Source organism: Homo sapiens, chromosome 6, assembly GCF_000001405.40.
Source record: "Homo sapiens chromosome 6, GRCh38.p14 Primary Assembly".
NCBI lineage: Eukaryota > Metazoa > Chordata > Mammalia > Primates > Hominidae > Homo > Homo sapiens.
Window position 1 is genome coordinate 104936125 of NC_000006.12, and position 19526 is coordinate 104955650.

Below are 19526 nucleotides of genomic sequence, written 5' to 3' on the forward strand. Positions count from 1 at the left end.
GTGACAGTGCTTGCTTTATTAACTTTTGATGTTGGAAATAATTTGTATTTGTGATAGGTATGTAGCAGTCTAAAACAAACTTTTGTGACTGATTTCTTTTACTATGATAAATGCAAAAAATCTGTGCCATGTGCAGCAAGTCAGTTCTCTGCAGAATGATATTAATTTTTCAGTGAAGAAGCAAAATCATTTCTAACAATGATTCTTGTTATGGGTTGAACTGCATCCCTCCAAAAAGATGTTGAAGTCCTACCCCCCAGTCTCTGTAAATGTGTACTTAAAAATAGGGTCCTTGTAGTTAATCAAGTTAAGATGAGATCATTAGGGTGGGTCCTAATCTGACTGGTGTCCTGAAAAGGAAAAATTGGGGCATGGGGACAGATAAGTAGAAAGGGAAGACAATGTGATGACACAAGCAGCAGCCATTTACAAGCTAAGGAATGCCCGAGTCTACCAGAAGCCAGGAGAGAGGCTTGGCACAGATTCTCATCACAGTCCAGAATCGACCCGGAAGCCTTCAGATCTGTAAGACGTTACATTTTTGTTGTTTCAGCCACCCTAGAAAGCAAATACAATGCTATTCACCCTGTTGCCCACGCTGGCCTGGAACTTCTGTACTCAAGCGATCGGCCCATCTCGGTCTCCTAATGTGCCGGGATTACAGGCATGAGCCACTGCACCCGGCCAGCTAGTTTTAATCTTTTTCTTTCTTTCTTCCATTTTAGGACAGGATCGCACTGTTGCCCAGGGTGGAGTGCAGTGGCGCAATCTTGGCTCACTGCAACCTCCGCCCCCCTGCTGGAGAGATCCTCCCACCTCAGCCTCCCCAATAGCTGGGACCACTGGCGCGCAGACCACGCCCAGCGAATTTTTTGTAGAGAGCCAGGTCGCCATTTTCCACAGGCTGGTGTTGAACTCCTGGGCTCAAGCGATTCGCCACGTCAACCTCTGAAGAAGGTGCTGGGATTACAAGCATGAGCCACCGCCGCCAGGTCAGTTTATTTCTAAACTCTATTTTTCTTTCTTTCTTTCTGAGATAGGATCTCACTCAGTCGCCCAGGCTGGAGTTCAGTGGTGCGATCTTAGCTTACTGGAACCTCTGGGTACTGGTCGGGCGGGCAACCTCAGCCTCCCCAAAAGCCGCAACCGCGGGCGCGCGCCACCACGCCCAGCTAGTATTTTGTAGAGACGCGGTGACCATTTTGCCCAGGCTGGGGTGCAGGGCCGCAGTCTCGGCTCGCTGCAACCTCCGCCTCCCGGCTGTCTGCTGAGTACCAGCAGCTGGGACTACAGGCGCCCGCCACCAAGCCTGCCTGATTTTTTGTAGAGACGGTTTCACCATGCTGGTCAGTCTGGTCTCCAACTCCTGGGCTCAAGTGATCTGCCCGCCTCGGCCTCCCAAAGTGCTGGGATTACAGGCGTGAACCACCGCGCCTGGCCAACTCTATTTTTCAAATTGTTTTAATGTAGTATAATAAATATAAAAGCCTAGTTTTTCAACATTGTAACACTCAATACTTGTAATTCGTAAGTAAAATGACGTGATGCCTGGGGTTTGCTTTCATACACTCCACTCATAAAAAAATAGAGGGCAAGAGAAATATGAAACACTGTATTTTATGTTTTCTAAAGGTCTTGGTAAGTATTTCCTTGAAAATATAATCAGGGTGCATTCAGATGCATTCATTAAAAAGCATTTCTTACACACTACCATATTCTAGGAACCGTTGTAGGCATTGGAGATATTAAGAGTAAGAGCCTGTTCTCTTTGGGAATAATTATTAGATATATTCTAAAAGTAAAGCAGGCCAAGCATGGTGGTTCATGCCTGTAATCCCAGTGCTTTGGGAGGCCAAGACTGCAAGGATATCTTGCCACCAGAAGTCTGAGAATAGCCTGGGCAACAGAGCAAGAACCTGTCTCTACAAAAAAAAAAAAAAAAAAAAAAAAAAAATTAGGCAGAAAAAAACCAAAAAAAACAAAAAAATTAGGCGCTTGTAGTCCCAGCCACTCAGGAGGTTGAAGATGGATTCTCACTTGTGCCCAGGAGGTCGAAGCTGCAGTAGCTAGGAAGGTACTATTGTACACCAGCCTTGGCAACAGAGTGAGACCGAGTCTCTAAAAAAGGGGAGGTTGGAAATAAGGTAAAATAAATTATGACCATGGTCCCAGGTAGAGGGATTCACTTTTATAAAGAAATTGCCAAGGTTCACTTTTAGAAGGAAATTGCCAAGGTCAGGCATGGTGGATCACGCCTGTAATCCCAGCACTTTGAAGGGCCAGGTGGGCAGACTGCTTGAGGCCAGGAGTTTGAGACCAGCGTGGGCAACATGGTGAAACCCCATCTTTACTAAAAATACAAAAATTAGCTGCGTGTGGTAGAGCAGGCCTGTAATCCCAGCTACTTAGGAGACTGAGGCACGAGAATCCCGTGAACCCAGAAGGTGGAGGCTGCAGTGAGCCAAGATTGCACTACTGCACTCAAGCCTGGGGGACATAGTGAGACCCTGTCTCAAGAAAAAAAAAAAAACCTGAAAAGAAAAAGAAATTGCCAAGAGCCATACGTAAATGATAAATTCCTTTGTTCTTATGGCTTTTCATTCATTTCTAATCATGCTAACATACTCCTTAATGCTTAGCCTATCAATGTTCATCATCGCCCCTTTCGGGTACCTTATATGAAATAATACATTAAATATTATAATGTCCCATTTTTTATTTGTGTCACAGGAGCATGATGGCATGATGATAACTAGTTTGAAATCAAAAAAAAGGATGAACTCTTGAGTGCTGGGATACTAACCCTGGGTTGTGTTTTAATTTTTTATTTTCTGTTTACAATTCTTCTCAGGACTTTAAATAGGTATTGCATAAATATACATCACACTTAAATGCTGAAAGGCTTACAAAATACCTAGAAACATAGCTATTAAAAAAAACAGTTCATTCTGTAAGTGCATTTGTAAGCTCTACTCATAAATAAAAAATTACTATAATGCTTTAAAGTCAAAGCATATCACATTTCAGATGGTGATATAATTAATTGCTGTTTTTCATTTCTAGTAATCAATGTCCACATCTTTTTCCTCTAAATTATATTTGAAATCATAGTGTAAATTGATACAATGATTATAACTAAGAATTGTATCTGAAAGAATCCTCTGTACTACTTCGCAAAGTAATGTAAGAAATACTTTACATACTTGCCAGTGAAAAGGCATCTTTAAAGTAAGTGGTATTCACTCCACTAGCTCAATGGAAAGTTGAGCAGCCATCCAGGGAATTTGCTGAAGGTGGTAGCCAATGTGGAAAATTCTTAGGAGGGGTCACAACAGGATTTTGCTTCTGATCAGTTTGTCTGCATTGATCTCACTCCCAGGCCAGAGATGCTTTTTTCTAGACTGTGGTTACCCTTGATAGATACATTGGTTTCTTAATCCCAATCCAGAAATTGGAAGGGAGAAATGTATCATCACACAGCAACGGTTTGGAGATTTGCCTTTTAGTCATACAATAGTAGCCAGTGAACTGGCCTTTATTAGTTACTTTCAAATGAAAGTGTTTTCATTTGAAAAGTTTTCCACTTTTAATTTGATTTCCTATATTTTAAATTTTTGAACAAATTTTTAGTTTGCTGAAATATTTAATCCCTTTAGTCAGTTCCACAGAACAGTCCAGATTACAAGGCGATATTCGATTTTTTAGCTGGTCAGATAATGATTGACTAGTACTGTTTAGTTCTGAAAGTCTGATGAGAAACTACCCAAAGTATAAGAAAGAACTATAAAATTATCAGGTAGAAAATTATAGGAGAGAAAGCAGTGATATTTTGGGAACATATACCAAAATACCAAGCTAAATATGTGTATATATCACAGTATTTTTGGCCCCAGATCTTGTGGCTCTTTGAGTGATGATGATTAAGTTTGTATCATCCAATTTGACGTTGAGTATCTTATTGTTTAGGAAAAGAAACAGCTGACAGTAGGTTCCCCAAACTTCTGGCATTGTCTACCATGCTCACTGGATTCTGAAATACATGACTATTATTACCTTGAATTGTGCTGTTCGGAATGATGTCCAGGGCATCTGTAGTAAAAGAAAAGAAGACCTGGGCTTCAGATATGATTTTGTTACCTTCTTACAGTTTTACCGCACCAAGGTGTCAGGTTGGGGAGCAAGGAGTAGCATCGTCCCGCCTCCCTCCAGTCGCACCCTAGGGACCGCCATGTGAGCTTCCCTCCCAGACTGACGCTGCGCGCGGAGAGCCGGGAGTCACAGGCCCAGGCACTCGCAGCCTCCACCAGAACAAACGGCGGCAGCGGCCGTGCGCGCCCACGGCCTGCGCGGGGACGCGCTTCGGGGGTTCGGGGGCGCCCGCGGTAAAGCTCCACCGCGGCCGCGCTCGCCCGCCCGGCCCTGGAATGAATGGAAGGTTCAATCTCGCGCGCTCGGCGCCGGCAGCCAATGACGCGGCCGGTAGCGGCGGCGGGCAGGTGTGCGCGTGCCGCCGGCTGACGCAGGGCTCCAGTCGAACCGCCTGGTGCCGCCGCCGCGCCCCGCGCTCCCCCACCCGGCTCAGCCCCCTCCTCCCCGCGCCCCGCCACTCGCCGGGCTGCGGCGGCGGAGTGGTGGCGACAGCGGATTCCGTGCCCGGTGGCCGCGCGCCGCCCGGCTGTTCCGCGTCCCCTTGCCGGCTCACAATGTGCTGACCCTCCCGGCCCCGCCGCGCGCCTCACAGGTCTCTCGACCTCCGCGCTCCCTCAGGAAGTGACAGACTCCAGGCCCCTTCCTCCGCCCCGTCCTTCGGGACTGAACGCCACACACGTCCTCACACCCTCTCCCCCTCTCACACCCAGGCTAGCGACGCGACCATGAGGCCCCGGAGGTAAGCAGCCGGCCCCGCGGCCGCGCGAGTGCGAGCGTGGCCGGGTGTGCGTGCGGGTGCGGACGCCGCTCGCGGTCCCGAGTCTGGCACGTGAGCAACGTCGAGGGGAGCTCCGTGCTGAGGAGCAGGAAGAAAAGAGGAGGCGCGAGCGCCAGGGAGGGGCGAGGACTGGGCACCGCGGGGAAGTGACAGGTCTCGCAGCAAGTTGCGGTTCGGAAGCCGGCGCGCCGCGTCTTTCCTTCGCCGGCCCTGATTTATTGCCCCGGTGCTGCCGCTAAGACGCGGGCAGTCGATGTACTTCCGGGTTCACACCTTTCTCTCCCCGCTCGGTGCTGCTGGGTCGGCGCCCGGTGTGGGCACTGCGTTGCCACAGCGGCCGCCCAGGCTCGCCGCTGCGGTTGCTGCCGGGCGGCCAAAGCCGGCTTGGAGCGGGAGGGCGGGGCGGGGCAGGGCGGGGGCGCAGGCCACGCGGGGGCGCAGGGCGCGAGGGTGCGGCGCAGGCTGGGGTCCCGGCGGCGGGTCCTCGCGGCCGGTGCCGGCTCGTCTGGGACGCACGGGGCCGCGCCGCCAGAGGGCGTGCGCACCTCCCTTTCGCGCTCCGCAAGCCGAACTGCTTTGTACCGGGCAGGCGTCGGGGATCGTTTTTGCTTTGGTATCGGTGATGTAAATTCATGAATTAAAATTAAGGATTTTGAAAAGAACGGGGAAGAACGCACTTGGATTTAGGTTGTTTTTGAAAAGGAAAAACCAAAGAGGAAATGATACGTTTGCAGGAGCATTAACTGACTACTGACTGGAACATTGGATGCGGGTGCTTTGTGAAGATTTGTACTCCAAAAACTTTTTTTAAAAATTGCACGTTGGTAAATATTGAGTGTTTTCGAGTAAAATCTAACAGTATGTATTTAGTGCCCTTATTGCGGAAATTTCTTAAATGTAAGTAATAGTAAGTCCGCCATTTTGAATTGTTTCATGTAACACAGAATGAAATCTTAGGTGCCTGTGTTTCCTTGAGTTCCCTTCAGTTCTTTGTGGGTTTGTTTTCATCCGTAGGTTTTTAAGGTTGCCAAGTGTCACTGTTCATGGAACTAAATTCTCCACTGTAGATTTTTATACCTATTATTGTTAATGCAAGGGGAAAATAAATTATACTCCTATTCTATTGTAGTTTTTTATTTATCGATCACAAATACTGTGGAAGTGAAAATTACACCTGACAACTAGTATTAGAATGAATTTAAAACGTTTTACAACATTGCTGGGAAAATATGACTTAAAGTGATTTTTAATCAAGAAAATATTAATGTTTCTTTTTTTGGTGCTGGTTATTACCATATTTACTTAGATAATGCAAAAGTGCTTTTTTAAAAAGCACATTTTTACGTCCAACAATAAGTATAAAACATCACAGTTTTATGAAAGCTTTCAGGGAAGATTTGAAAGTTAAGGGTGAATTCTTGGAAATATATGCCAATTTGTATGAAAAAATAAATTTGCTATGAAATTTATGCCTTTTTTTCTTCTGCTGTGAATTTGCATAGATTTTATAGAGGAGTCATATGATAAATTAACAGAAGAGAATGTAATAATCAGTATTCCATTTTCAATAATAATTACACCCTTGTCCATCTTAGGGAAGGTTCTTGCCTGCCAAATTATTTATCTTTGCATGTATGAAACACAGCAATCCAGTGTGCTTAATTTCCTACAGAGCTTTAGAAATGAAACTGACACAAGGCCTCTTCTACCAATGAATAAAAAAGTTTTATTTGACTTTTCCATTTTACAAGTAGGATCAGCTAATCTTTGCTTTACAATATAAGGTCATAAAAATTTAAGGAATTGGATCGGGTTGTAATGCATATTGGTTTTTGGTAACTTTATAGGTGCTTCTCAATAGATCTGGAACTAAATGATTCAATAATTATATTCTCATTAATCCTTGTCAGACTGTATGGTGTCTTACTATGTATGTTCTCTGCTAGACTTCAGAAACAATAAAAAGTTTGTTGTGAAATTAGTCAAGATTTAAATTTAAAAATCGCTAGGTTGTGAGGCGAGGTATGTCAATCTTATACTTTGTAAGGGAAGCAAATCGAGATTTAAAATAGTAGTGCTCAAAGTTAGTCTTCAGAATAACTTGTTTTTAAGTTTATTGCACATATAAATCCCAAAATACGGTGAATTTAAGTTTGGCTTTTTTTTTCCGGTTTACTCTGAAGAAAGAGAAGATTAAATAGATCTTACCTGCCTAAAAGTTTGATAATGCTTGGTATCTGATCTGGTAACATGATTAGGGTTTTGTGACACACTGCTGTCATAATTTACAAATCATGATTAAAGGAAGAAAATAAGTTATTAAATAAAACATGTATGAATAACAGTCTTCAGGTGTGAGTGATGTCTCTTTAAAAATAATTGAAGCGCTAGGCACAGCTACCAAATTTGGGGACTGTATTAGCAAGTTCAGGTCAGGAAATGATCTATAAACATTTATCTTAATCCAAAGTTGCATTGATTTAAAAAATGAAACATGGGCATACAGGGATGAATCAATTTAGAAGTAATTAAATTATTGATTATGAAAGTGGCGTTACAAATTTTTGGACAACTAAAGCGTTTTCTTATTAGGTATTTTTTAATAGAATTTAATTTTCTTTTAAAATTCTCAGATACTCAGTTTTTTTTGTTTAAATACTTTTGAACCTGTACCTTATTTCCTTGACTTTTAAAGGGACTGTATTTTCTTTACAAATAACTACTGTTTTTGATGAACCACAAAGTAAAGTATTTCTAGCTTGCCAAGAAGAACAATGGAAATTCTTTACATTCAAATACTTCAGGTTGATTTATATGAATAAGTCTTCGAATATATGAAATACAGAATCTCATTGTTTTGAGAAACTTGCCCACCATGTACTTGTATACATGTACATTATTGTGTTGGATTTCTCTGACACAATGATGCTCGACAAAGTCGCTGGCCACAGTGCTGAATCAAGACAGCCATATTGGTCCCTGCTAAATCTGACTGAAAACTGTACAGTACACAGAAATTGTGTAGGGATTCAAGTAGCATCATGACTATAGGAAATATATGCATATATATTTCATAAATTTTTTTTTTGCTTTTCACCTAGTTGAATTGGAATCATCAGAAATTGTGATAGAGAAATGTTATCCCTGAAGTATATTAATTTACTGTGTAACATTGATTTTGAATAATGTCAGTAAAATCAATAGGATCAATGCTAGAGGTTTTCTCTTTCTTTGAAAGCTGCCACTTGCAGATGATGACAAGATTTTAAAAACCCGTTTAAGCAACTAGTTATTTAACTCAAAAACTGTACAGTTTTAGTTGACACTACTGGTAAGATAGAGTATGAACTTGATATTTGCAATTTTTGATTTAGGTTCATATTCTGGCACTATCAAAACCAACATCAAAATATGTGATATCAAGCTTAAATTAGAAATCATTCATGAAATAAATTACACTTAAAAACATTAAATAATTTAAAAAATAAGAATATAAATTTTGAAATTATAATGATATTGACCTGTCATTTGGGGGAAATTTTCTATTGTTTGAAACAGGACAAACAGCAGGCTTTTACTGCTTACAATATTACTGTGCTCTACATTATATGAAATGAGTACTAGTATGAAACCATTGTAGAAATTACCTGAAAAGTAATGTTGTAATACATTTAATATATCAGTAAAAAGTACTATTTTAAGCATAGAACTTTGACATGATTCTTCTAAAAATAGAATGGGTTGATATGCAGGATCATCAAATTAAGGGTCAAAGGTGACAAATCAGGACAAAGGGCATGCAGCTCATTTTCAAGCAACCAGTTTCTAGTTTTTTCTTAGCGGAACAAAAGCTTAATTATATGGAAAAAAAGACTTGATGTTGAATGGCCAGTTCTAATGGTGGAAAAACATGTTTACAATTTTCTAGATATTTTGAAATCAGTATTTATTTTACAGACTTACTTGGAAAGGCAAGAGCCGAAATGCTACTTTTATGTTTTTCAAACATTTTTCTGTGCATCATTTGTTCAGACTTTACAAAAACATTTTAACTAAAATATTCTAGACTGTATAGGTTAAAAAATAGACATTTTGTGGATTTAACATTTTAGAAAAAATCTGTAAATTATGTGTTATCTTTTGTATTAGTCTGTTATAATCTCCTCTGTTAGTTAAAATCCTATTATTTTTATTTGCTATTACATTTATTACATCAGTAAGTCACCCAGTGTTGTAAGGATGAGTAACTTGTAAAGTGTCTCTTTATCTTTATTAAAATGTTAATTGAAAATATTTAGAATACACAAAGTTCTCATTTACTTGTTAATCTCTGGTGATGATATAAATTTTGAACCATTAATAATGTTGTATATTAAAACTTAAAATGTATGTCAATAAAATTTCCTTGTTATTATTGTAATTAAAAGAAGTGTTCAGTTTTACCTAGAATCATTTTTGTTTACTGTATCAAAAAGCCACTTTAAAGTTTTGTCTTAAAGTTATGGTGGGCCTTCAAAGTATATGTGATTACCTTTTTTAAGGCAGGAATTTTGCCATTATTTTGATCTTTTTGATTTGAAACCACTATCGCTTTCTTTTACTTTTCTTCAACGTGATCTAACAGTGACTGGGCTGTGAGCTCGATTACATAAAGTTATTATTTCATATGTTGGAAAATACAAACACATTAGCAAAACTAACTGTGCTGTGGCTCAACTGTGTTATAGCTTACATTTAAGCTAAAGAATTGTGTTTGCCAGCTGCTATCTGTGCCATAATATTGCCTTTAAACAATTTTGAAAATATGCCAGTCATCTTAAATTATTACTCATTTGTTTTTATTTTCCAAAATAAATTCTTCTTATTACAGTATTTGAAGAGAATGATAGAGGTGTCCATATCTTATATGAAACAAATAAAATTTCTATTTGTAATATGGTTGAGAAAATTAAATTTATCTCTGTGATTCAGCAGTGCCAAAAATACTACCCTCTGATTTAAGGTTGAGTGTTTCATATGATATATTCTAAATTAAATTATATACTTTATAAATATAAGAAATAATGCAACTTTGAGATTTTTTCCTAATATAAAATTTTCTGTTCTCTTGATAATTGTAAAAATATTTCACCGAATGTGAAGCTTGTTTTCAAACTCCAATAGCCTAATATTTTTAAACTGTAGAAAGTCATGTGTAACTATTTCTCTTACTTTTAAGTAAATTATTTTGTTTAGATTTTCTGTTCCTGTGTATGATTGAGGGTACATCAGCAACATTTCCAGCTACATCTATGATTAAAGTAGGATGTTCAGTTAAATTGCAAAATAATTTATCCTGATTTTACTGAGGCAGCATTTGAATTTAGTCTGTTGACTAATTGCAAAAAATAATTACAGTAAGGTTTGTAATAGATATTAAATGTTCGTTTAAAGGACAATGTAAGGAAACACTTTCATAAAGCACCTGCATTCACTTCAGTGTTGAACTTCCATGTTTAATATTTTATTTGATGTGTGTGTGTGTTATATTTTAAGTTATAGTCAATTTAAATCAGTATTGTGCTTTGGGTTTTACTCTGGTGTTAGTGTAATATTAATATGTTTGCTATATGATTTTAAGTAATGTTATTTTAAAACGTTTTCTCTTGCTAGGAAAGAAAAATGTGTGTTGCTTTCCAAAGAATGTAGTTCAGTGATAGTTGACACATACTATAGATTAATTTTTCTTTAAACCATAAAGTGAATATTTATTATAGTAAGTTGTAATGTACTTTACACTTATGTTATTTTAGAAAATACTATAACAGAAACAAAAAATTATCTGAAGTATTTTTTAAAATGTTGAAAAATTCTGGAGATGAGAATAAGTAATGAAATAATTTTTCTTATTATGGTGAATACTATTCCTGATTGTTAAATCATTTTTGCAACTTAAAGTAAATTTTGCATTTGTTAGTATTAGAAGTAAAAGTTAGCATGATGTGAATTGAAATAAAATTCTGAGTAATATGTAATGTAGTAGTAATTTATTTTTATTTATCACTTCATTTATCTGAGCTTAACAGCTTGGCAATTTTTATTTTTATTTTTTGAGACAGAGTCTCACTGTGTCACCCAGGCTGGAGTGGAGTGGCGGGATCTTGGCTCACTGCAACCCTTGTCTCCCGGGTTCAGGCAGTTCTCCTGCTTCAGCCTCCTCAGTAGCTAGGATTACAGGCATGCACGACCACGCCTGGCTAATTCATGTATTTTTAGTAGAGATGGGCTTCACCATGTTGGCCAGGCTGGTCTCGAACTCTGGACCTCAAGTGATCCACCTGCCTTGGCCTCCCAAAGTGCTGGGATTACAGGCATGAGCCACCACACCAGCTGGCAATTTTTGAGTGAATTACAATATATAATTCATAATAGCAGTCATTTTCCTTTACATTTAGTTACAACAGTGGATTTTAACAATGAACAATATATAATGTATTTGTGAAGAATATTGTTATATATTTTAGTAGAAAGTGTGAAATCTAAGAATGTTTGTGATGGATACTCTTTATAAGTTAGGCACTCCTATAGCAGTAAATCATATATTTAAATTAAAATAATTGGAATTATTTTGTATATATGTATTTTATATTTGTAATATATGTATTTTATATTTATAAGAGATTAATTGCCTATCCAATTATTTTTTATGAAAAGATGGTTTAACAAAACATTTTGCGTACTTTTTTTTTTTTTTTTTATAAAAGCCAACCTAGGAATAATCAACCTCGGTACAGGAATTCGTTGTCATTGGTTCAAAAAATATAATGAATACAAAATAATGCCAGAATTATAATAATGAGCTAAATATACACAGTCTCTCTAATCACAGAGCATAGAGTTCAGTTGGGAGAGAGAACATTTTCATGGACTGTTATAATAAACCACAGTACACTATTACATGGTAGAGACATTGTATTCAGTATGGAACAGTATGAAAAAGAGCTCTAAGTAGAGATCTAAATGATGAATGGAGATTATTCTCGTGTAGGGGCAAAGAAGTGTATTTTGGGATTTCATAGGTTTAGGTTTTTGTTTTCTAAGAAAACGTAATGAACTCTGTTAAATAAAATATTTTAACAAAATGTATTAAATACAAGGCCTGGCACGGTGGCTCATGCCTGTAATCCCAGCACTTTGGGAGGCCGAGGCGGGTGGATCACAAGGTCAGGAGTTCGAGGCCAGCCTGGCCAACATAGTGAAACCCCATCTCTACTAAAAATAGAAAAATTAGCCAGGCATGGTCGCACATGCCTGTAATCCCAGCTACTCGGGAGGCCGAGGCAGGAGAATCGCTTAAACCCAGGAGGCAGAGGTTGCAGTGAGCCTAGATTGCACCATTGCACTCCGGCCTGGGCAACAAGAGCAAAACTCCGTCTAAAAAAAGAAAAAAAATTATTACATATAAATACTCATGTATAAAATGTCAGTGGCTGTTTTTGGAGTATTCATGCATTTGAAGAATTATTTTAACTCCTGATATTTCATTTCAAAAAACAGTCACCTAGAATAAGAATATGAACATTTAAAATTATAAATATTTTACAGCTTATACCTGTCTCATTCCTATTATAGTTGTTCAGTCAATATTGGATGGATACATGATAATATCTACATTTAAACAATGCTATTTTTTCTACTCTTGTTTTTGAACAATTTTAAACCATTAATATTAGTGAAAAACATTAATTGTGAAATAATTTCATGTTACTTTTCCTTTGAAGCGGACATTACTGTTAAAACTAGTATAACCAAGGACATCATATGTAAGTTTGAATAGTGAAAAATCTGAATGTTATTGTCAGTCAAATTGGCTTTTTAAAAAAAACTCCAAAAGCTAATAGTTAGAGCTCTTGAATTAAATAGCATTATTTAGCTAACTTTCTTACATTATTTGATTTTGGCTTTATTAAACCTATTTGTGATAGTTTGTCCAAATTATTTGCAAAGTTTTTTTTTTTTTAACAAACCCTATCTATTGTATTTACACATCTTTAAAATATGTTGGCTTGAATTCTTCTCTAAATATAAGCAGATAGGATTAAGAATAGGCTGTGGACTATTAGAATAGAAAGGCAGAAGCTACAGTTGTGCTGAAATATTTATGTACAATAATTAAATATACTCACACATAAGCCAGATGTGCAAAATAAAACTTGATACAGGATCAATGTAAAGGAAAGCTCTGTTTCATTAAGTGTCTGTAATGAATTTTGTTAAAGTTAGGATCTGTCATTATCTTGTGTCTTTTGGTTGTAAACACAGGCTAAGTGAAGGATTTAATGTACAGAGGTTCACGTGCCTTTTGTTCACATTCTTCCTCTATTCTTTTCAAATCTAACTCGGTGGGATTGTCATCCTTTGTAAAAAGAACCTTGGGTCAACATTCAGTAGAACCCTGCACTTGGAAAAGTCTCCATTTCCTTTTGAGAAGAAAATTAGATTGCAACTTAAATAATTTGCACAGAATGGTTTTACTTATTTTTTGTGAGTTGATATAGTAGGTCTAGTGTGTAAAACTTAGTTAAGGAAAGACAACTCTGGGTGTAGCAGGTGAGTGCATGCATGTTCACACCAATCTGTTTTGCAAACCTTAATAACTGACCCAAGGATAAAAACAATAATTTAGTAGTCACCAGGAGTTCCTCTTCCAATCACTATACTTGATTACTGTGTGGCCTCTTTATTGCAAGTTTTATTGTGTTGTGGCATCTGCCAATGGATGTATTAGAAACATCAATATTTACTCATATTTAAAAAATGAGAACTGTTTGCTTTTTAAAAAACATTAACCCATTTAAAAATATAAGTTAAAATGCATATTAGATATTTAAAAATATACTTAATGATTAAATGTATTACCATTAATGTAATTTTTCATTCACTTGACTGCAACAGCCCCAATATCTATTTTATAGTACCATCGTTAGATTCTCATGATTTATCTTCTGAAATATATCTGAAGAGAATAGTCAAAGAAGTTAGTTCTTCAAGAAACATGATATTCTAGGTTAAGTAGATTTTAACTGTGCTTGGAAAAAATACTAGTATTTTAAAATTACAGTGTAAAATTAAATATTAAAATTTAAACTGCATTGTTCGTGATATTGGGATCTTTTGACTGCATCTTAATGGTCTTAAATGTTGTAAATGTTCTTTAAACTAGTGTCCTCTACTAGATATAAAAGGCAAGTATATGCCAATTGGTTATCTAATTTTGCTAGGTGAGTCTTAAACTGTAAAAAAAAGTTTACAGGTCTCTTCACAGAGTCAAAACCTGGGCATTTTATTGCTTTCTAATGGCCATTAGGATGAAGAAGAGGCAATTAAATAGGCAATTAATGTAGTACTGACTTGAGCTCTCTGATTTTAGGTTCTTCAGAAGAGGATGAGGTCATTCAACCAGGTTTCATCAGCCCCAGGTTAGTCTTTTTTTTTTTTTTTAAATATTTTGTTTAATTAATGTTTTAAAAGATCAAGATCGCTAGAGGCATATGAGAACCTGACAGCCCTCAGGAATTCTCCATCCTTTCTACTTTGGCAAGACAGGTACCAAGTCCTCCTATACTTCGTCCTGATCACTCCATCTAAAAAACTGGTGTTCCCATAAGAATTACGTGGACAACCTCTTCTAATTAACCCCTTTCCCCCCACCCCCACTTTTAGCAGTATTGTATTTTGTGATTCCTTTTTCTGTAACTCAAGCAGCATAGATAACAGATATTTAAATGCTTATGGAGATGAATGAAAAGTATTCATGGTTTGTTCATTTTTGTAACTCCCAAAGTAAAATATGCACTAACGAATATCTGCTGAACTAAATTAAAAATGGAGACATGGTGCTGTTTTAAAATAATTTATCATAACAGAAATAGCACAATATATTAGACATTTTGAGGAAATTTTTCTTATCTAGGAAGCTCTGTGTTGCTTTTCATAAACATATATCAGAATTTGCTCCTCGTTTTCATATGACAAAGCTGAGTCATTTGAACTTTAATATTTTAAACCCAGACTTTTGACATGCTTTCTTATATTATTAAAATTAACTTAAAAGTTATAGCACCATTTTTTAGTAACAATCTTATTTGATGATAATTTATTACTCTGGCTTGACCATACCACTTTGAAGGCACACATAGGAGCTGTGATATTGCAAAGTATATGAATATTAATAATAACTACAAGTAAAATGATGTTATTCTGTTATTAAACTTTTCAAATATAGGATTGTGAGTAGCAAGAGGAAAGCAGTAAGGATCAAAAAGTTGGATGAGGAAACCATGATAGGATTTCCATTTGAGAAACTGCTTTTTTTTTGGAGTGAATCTTGACATAGGGGTGATACTCTAATATCATGAAAAAGAAGATTCTCAAAAGTTGGTACAAATGTTTTAGTATACCACCTAGTTTCCTCTTATTATTGTTTTCATTTATTAATTTTTTATTTTTTTCCCCTTATTATCGACTGTGGTTTTCTGTTGGGGCCAGTTCAGAGACCTTTTTCTTTTCTGTTGGGAAATAATGTTAACACCAATGTGTTAAGTGACTGCAATAAAGTTTCATGTCTGTATTTCCTTGTGATTAAAAAGGATCGGAGGGGAAAGGTACAACTTTCACCAGAAGAATGGTTATTTCTAGAGATTACATTTCAAGTTAAAAGACTTTGAATATTTGCTGGTCCAGTTTCCTCACTTTACAGATGAAGAAACTGAGTTCCAGAGAAGTTTAGTGATTAGCCCAAGGCCACAGATTGGTAAATAGGACCAGAATTGGTAAATAGGACCAGAATTCTGGCCTCCATTTTCTAGCTGGGCTTTTTCTCCACAGATTTGCTTCTCACACATGCTGATTTGCTTCAGGCATCTTTAAAGCCTGAAGATTTCTTTTAACTTGTCTCATCTTTTACCCTGCCACTCTTCTTTCCTTTTTCATTTCTGATATACTTGCCCTCTCCCCTCAAATAAACCCAAAGGGTAAATATTGAAATAAATACCTGGGAGACAGTCCACATTCTTATTTCAGTTGATTATTTCTTTTGATGAAATAGAGCTTTAAAGAATACTTTTATTCATTGCTTGAGGGAGGAAGAAAGAATAGTATATTAACATTATTTAGTGTTTGCTCCACAGACTCATGGTATTTATTGCAAAAAGACCTTTAAATTAGGAAACATACATGTTCAAGTAGTACAGTTGAAAAATACTTTCATTTTGCAGCTAAAACATGAAGCTTCCTTTTGTGCCATTCTGGGCAAAGTAATGTAAAACTTAGTACTAAATGATTTTTCTAGCCTGTTACTATTCTAATTAAAGTAATTTAAGAAAGTATTTGTTGAGCACAGTTTGGAAAATATTTTTCCTGCTTATTGGGAGAGAAGTATGTTAATGTAATAGGATTTTTGCTATTCCAGGTTTTTAAAAAGATACTTTCTACAGCTATTATGTATAATTTTTAAAAAAAGTTAAAAAATTCTTTCTTCAGAATGTTAGTCTTAAAATAATGCTCCTTTTCTGAATTTTGTTGTAAATATTTTGCTGAAACATAACTGACCAAAAAGAAGGAAGCATTTGCAAATTTTGAAATGTAAAGGGAAATTTTGAAATATAAAGGCAAATTTTGAAATATAAAGGCAATTTGTGTGGAAAACTTAAAATTTATGCTAATCCGTTTCTGTATTTCCATAATTTTACTTTATTATTCTGGGGAAAGTGTGTTAAGGTATTTAATGAAAGTCTCGAGAGATTTTTACCTCTGTATAAAAATTCTAACGTTGGACCAATTGTGTGAAGCCAGAGCATTTTGCCTCCAGACAAGGAAATTAAATGAGAATAGAATTTTGCTTTTTGGAAACAAAAGCAAAGCGACCCAACTATATTCTGAAGTGCCTCTGCTGCAAGACCCAAGCACCCAGTCGGGCGCGCCTTGCATTTGTCTCCATGTCGTAGGAATGTCAAGAAAGTTACCGCCAAGTGGTTTACCAAAACGCGGCGGAAGGAATCAGGACAGTTTGCCCGACGGGCGGGTCGGCGGCTTTCAGGCGGGAGAGATCTTGCCAGGGGCAGAGAGAGATCCCGAAAATCGCCCCCAGCCTTGCGTCCAGCCCTTTCTCGCCGACGTTTTTTCTTGATCCTCCGAAGGCCCAGGGCGACGTTTGCCATCGCGGCTTCCCGAAAGGACGGCGCCGGGTTTGCTGGAAGACAGCTCAGTTTTAGGCATGGCCCGGTGGGGGTGGGGGTGCTCATTTTCTTGGGTTCGGATTCCCTCTCTTTGACCGCACTTATCTTAGCTTTAGGAGATTCTGGCATCTCATAGGAAAAGGGATCAAATTATAAGTGATATACGTCTGGAAATTCAGTAAAAATAGTAGGTTGTGCGTAGTGTTTTTGCCATAGTAGTGAAGGCAGGGATTTCTTTTGTTTGGTGTTCTTGGGGACAAGATGACAAATGTAAAAGTCCCTAAATTAGTGAGAAATCACCAGCCTTTGGATCTACCCCACTTAGGGAGAGGAGATGGTAAAGTGACGAATAAAGGGAAAAGTGACTGAGGAAAGAAAGGTGAGAGGAAGCTGCAGAGGCAGGAGGTGGAGGGAAAGCGCAGATCTGCTGGCGCGGGGTCTGGGGTCTCAGGTCTCGGCCGCCTGGGGAGCGACCTGCCTGGAGAGGCGGGTTGCGATGGCAGCGCTGGGCTACAGACCCCGCCTTATTTGCGGGGAGGAGAGGACGGGTGGAGTCACTTGCCGCATTGCCACAGCCCCTCCTCCTAGTTTTAAGAAGAACCGAAGCATTGTTTCTGCTTTAACAGAAGTCACTCATTCCTTATAATTGAAAACAACGACGGTGGGCTCTGGCACCTCTTTCGGCTCCTTGTACTGTTGGAAAAAAAGTCTGGGAAAACGTGTACCTTGTTTTTTAAATGGGGATGATTGTGATAGCCAACAGGCATATGGTAGGTTATTTCCTTGCTTTTTCCCCCCAGTACATTGACGATTCTTTGTAGCTACTTGAACTCATTTTAAAGACATTTTGAAAGAACTATAAGTCAAGCTATAAAGTATTTGGCTTTTGCAGGAATAAAACACCCCTTTTGAGTCAAACACAGGTCTTTCAGGCACTAAAACCAAGTAGGAAATGAGAAAAAAATTAAAACCAGAAGACTTCAGGAAAGTGACAAATTGGAAAGCATTCTAGAAGACTCATAGGACGACTTTCTGTGAAAGAAGCACTCTAGGAGCTTTAAAAGCTTATGGGCAATTTATATTATAAAAGGATTTTAGGCTCAAAAGTTTTGGGGGAAGGCACAGAAAAAACAGTGCCATATTCTTAAATTGGTGAGTGATTATTTTGTGTTTCTCAATGTGTCTCCTTCCTTTACTTCTCTCCCTTTCCAACTTCCTTGCTTTCTTCTTCCTTTTCCCTCTACCCTTCCCTCGCCTCTTCTCTTCCCCTTTCTTTTACCCTCCCCCAAGGTATGTAAATGCATTTGTCTTAAATTCTTCATGAACGAATTTTAGAGGATTTTTCAGGGTTACCAGTTGGAAAAAGCCTTCTACACAACTTGAAAGGCTGATGTCCCTCTCAGGAAATGAATGAGTCGATAACCTCTGACACCAGTGACCACTCCAGTGAACCTTACCTTAATTCCACTAATACTGGAGGCCCCCAATCAGGCAAGACTGTGAATCTCATAACTATACTGTACAGTGTAGTTCAGTTATGGTATTCCACTTTTCACCCACATGTTCATAAATTTGAATTTCATCAAATTTAACAATAAACAGATTCTGAATCTACCTACATTATTATGCTTCTGGTTTTATAATGATTAAACTGTTTTCTAATTAAAAGCAAACTTAAATGAATATTTTACAAAGCTAAACTATACTGGCCTGTGAATTTTGTGATCATTACTTTTATGTAAGTAATAGCATTTCACCTCAATTTACATGAATACTTTCTGAGATTTTTTTCCTCTTATACCAGATGTTGATTTTTTAAAGTGATTATTAAAATATGAAAAAATATAAATTACTTTCTCGATTTCATATTATGTCACAAGCTTAGCCTGTAATGCCATCATTGAGATTACTTTCTTGTCAGTGTAATCAGTATAATAGAAGTAATTTCTACCATCAAAATAATGCCTAGTAAATGTTTTGTTAGTAAATAATTTTTTCAGAGCTTTGAGCTTTTGTTAAACTTTCAAAGTCATTGGATTTTTGCACCTTTTCTTTTCTCCCTAACAGCTGGCACAGGATTATTCCTCCCAAAATAAATAAAATGAGAAAGTAGCCCTTTTTCCTGAGAAATAACAAAAGGAATAACAGACAAAAAAAAAAATCTTTCCAAATTGATTAGTTTTCATTAAACCTTTTATCAAAAACAGCTGAAAATAACTTCTATTTTTTATACATCCATTTTCCAATCTGAGCCAATTAAATTTATATTTAGTTGTTTAATATGGGGAGGGAGTATAAATAGGTGTATACAGCTTTTTCCATAGCTCTTCGATTCATAATCCCTACATTTTAGCTTGTGTGAAACAGTGCTGGAGTGTGGATGT

The 19526-nt window shown here is 37.5% G+C and overlaps 1 protein-coding gene and 1 long non-coding RNA gene across 3 annotated transcripts in view, besides 3 other annotated features; one reads left to right on the forward strand and one right to left on the reverse strand.

Moving 5' to 3' along the window:
- Positions 170–4403, reverse strand: LIN28B-AS1 (LIN28B antisense RNA 1). Its single transcript, NR_046407.1, has 3 exons — positions 4254–4403; positions 4054–4089; positions 170–558 (listed from the first exon to the last, which is right to left on the reverse strand). It is a non-coding gene; the product is annotated as an LIN28B antisense RNA 1 (long non-coding RNA).
- Positions 705–1205: an enhancer, noted in NCBI's record as "H3K27ac hESC enhancer chr6:105384704-105385204 (GRCh37/hg19 assembly coordinates)". NCBI's record gives its function as "activates a minimal SCP1, AML or CMV promoter by ChIP-STARR-seq in naive H9 embryonic stem cells {active_cell/tissue: H9 hESC(naive)}" and the evidence as "EXISTENCE:reporter gene assay evidence [ECO:0000049][PMID:30033119]".
- Positions 902–19526, forward strand: part of LIN28B (lin-28 RNA binding posttranscriptional regulator B) — a 146307-nt gene continuing 127682 nt past the window's right edge. Inside the window, exons 1-2 of one of the 2 annotated variants that reach the window (XM_006715477.3) lie at positions 902–992; positions 14337–14385. In XM_006715477.3, coding sequence (XP_006715540.2) covers positions 975–992; positions 14337–14385 — 67 coding nt within the window. In that variant the 5' untranslated portion in view covers positions 902–974. Of the gene's footprint in view, positions 993–4840; positions 4889–14336; positions 14386–19526 lie in introns of those variants that run through there. The other variant, NM_001410939.1, reaches the window with a different exon arrangement.
- Positions 1206–1706: an enhancer, noted in NCBI's record as "H3K27ac hESC enhancer chr6:105385205-105385705 (GRCh37/hg19 assembly coordinates)". NCBI's record gives its function as "activates a minimal SCP1, AML or CMV promoter by ChIP-STARR-seq in naive H9 embryonic stem cells {active_cell/tissue: H9 hESC(naive)}" and the evidence as "EXISTENCE:reporter gene assay evidence [ECO:0000049][PMID:30033119]".
- Positions 4625–5459: an enhancer, noted in NCBI's record as "H3K27ac hESC enhancer chr6:105388624-105389458 (GRCh37/hg19 assembly coordinates)". NCBI's record gives its function as "activates a minimal SCP1, AML or CMV promoter by ChIP-STARR-seq in primed H9 embryonic stem cells {active_cell/tissue: H9 hESC(primed)}" and the evidence as "EXISTENCE:reporter gene assay evidence [ECO:0000049][PMID:30033119]".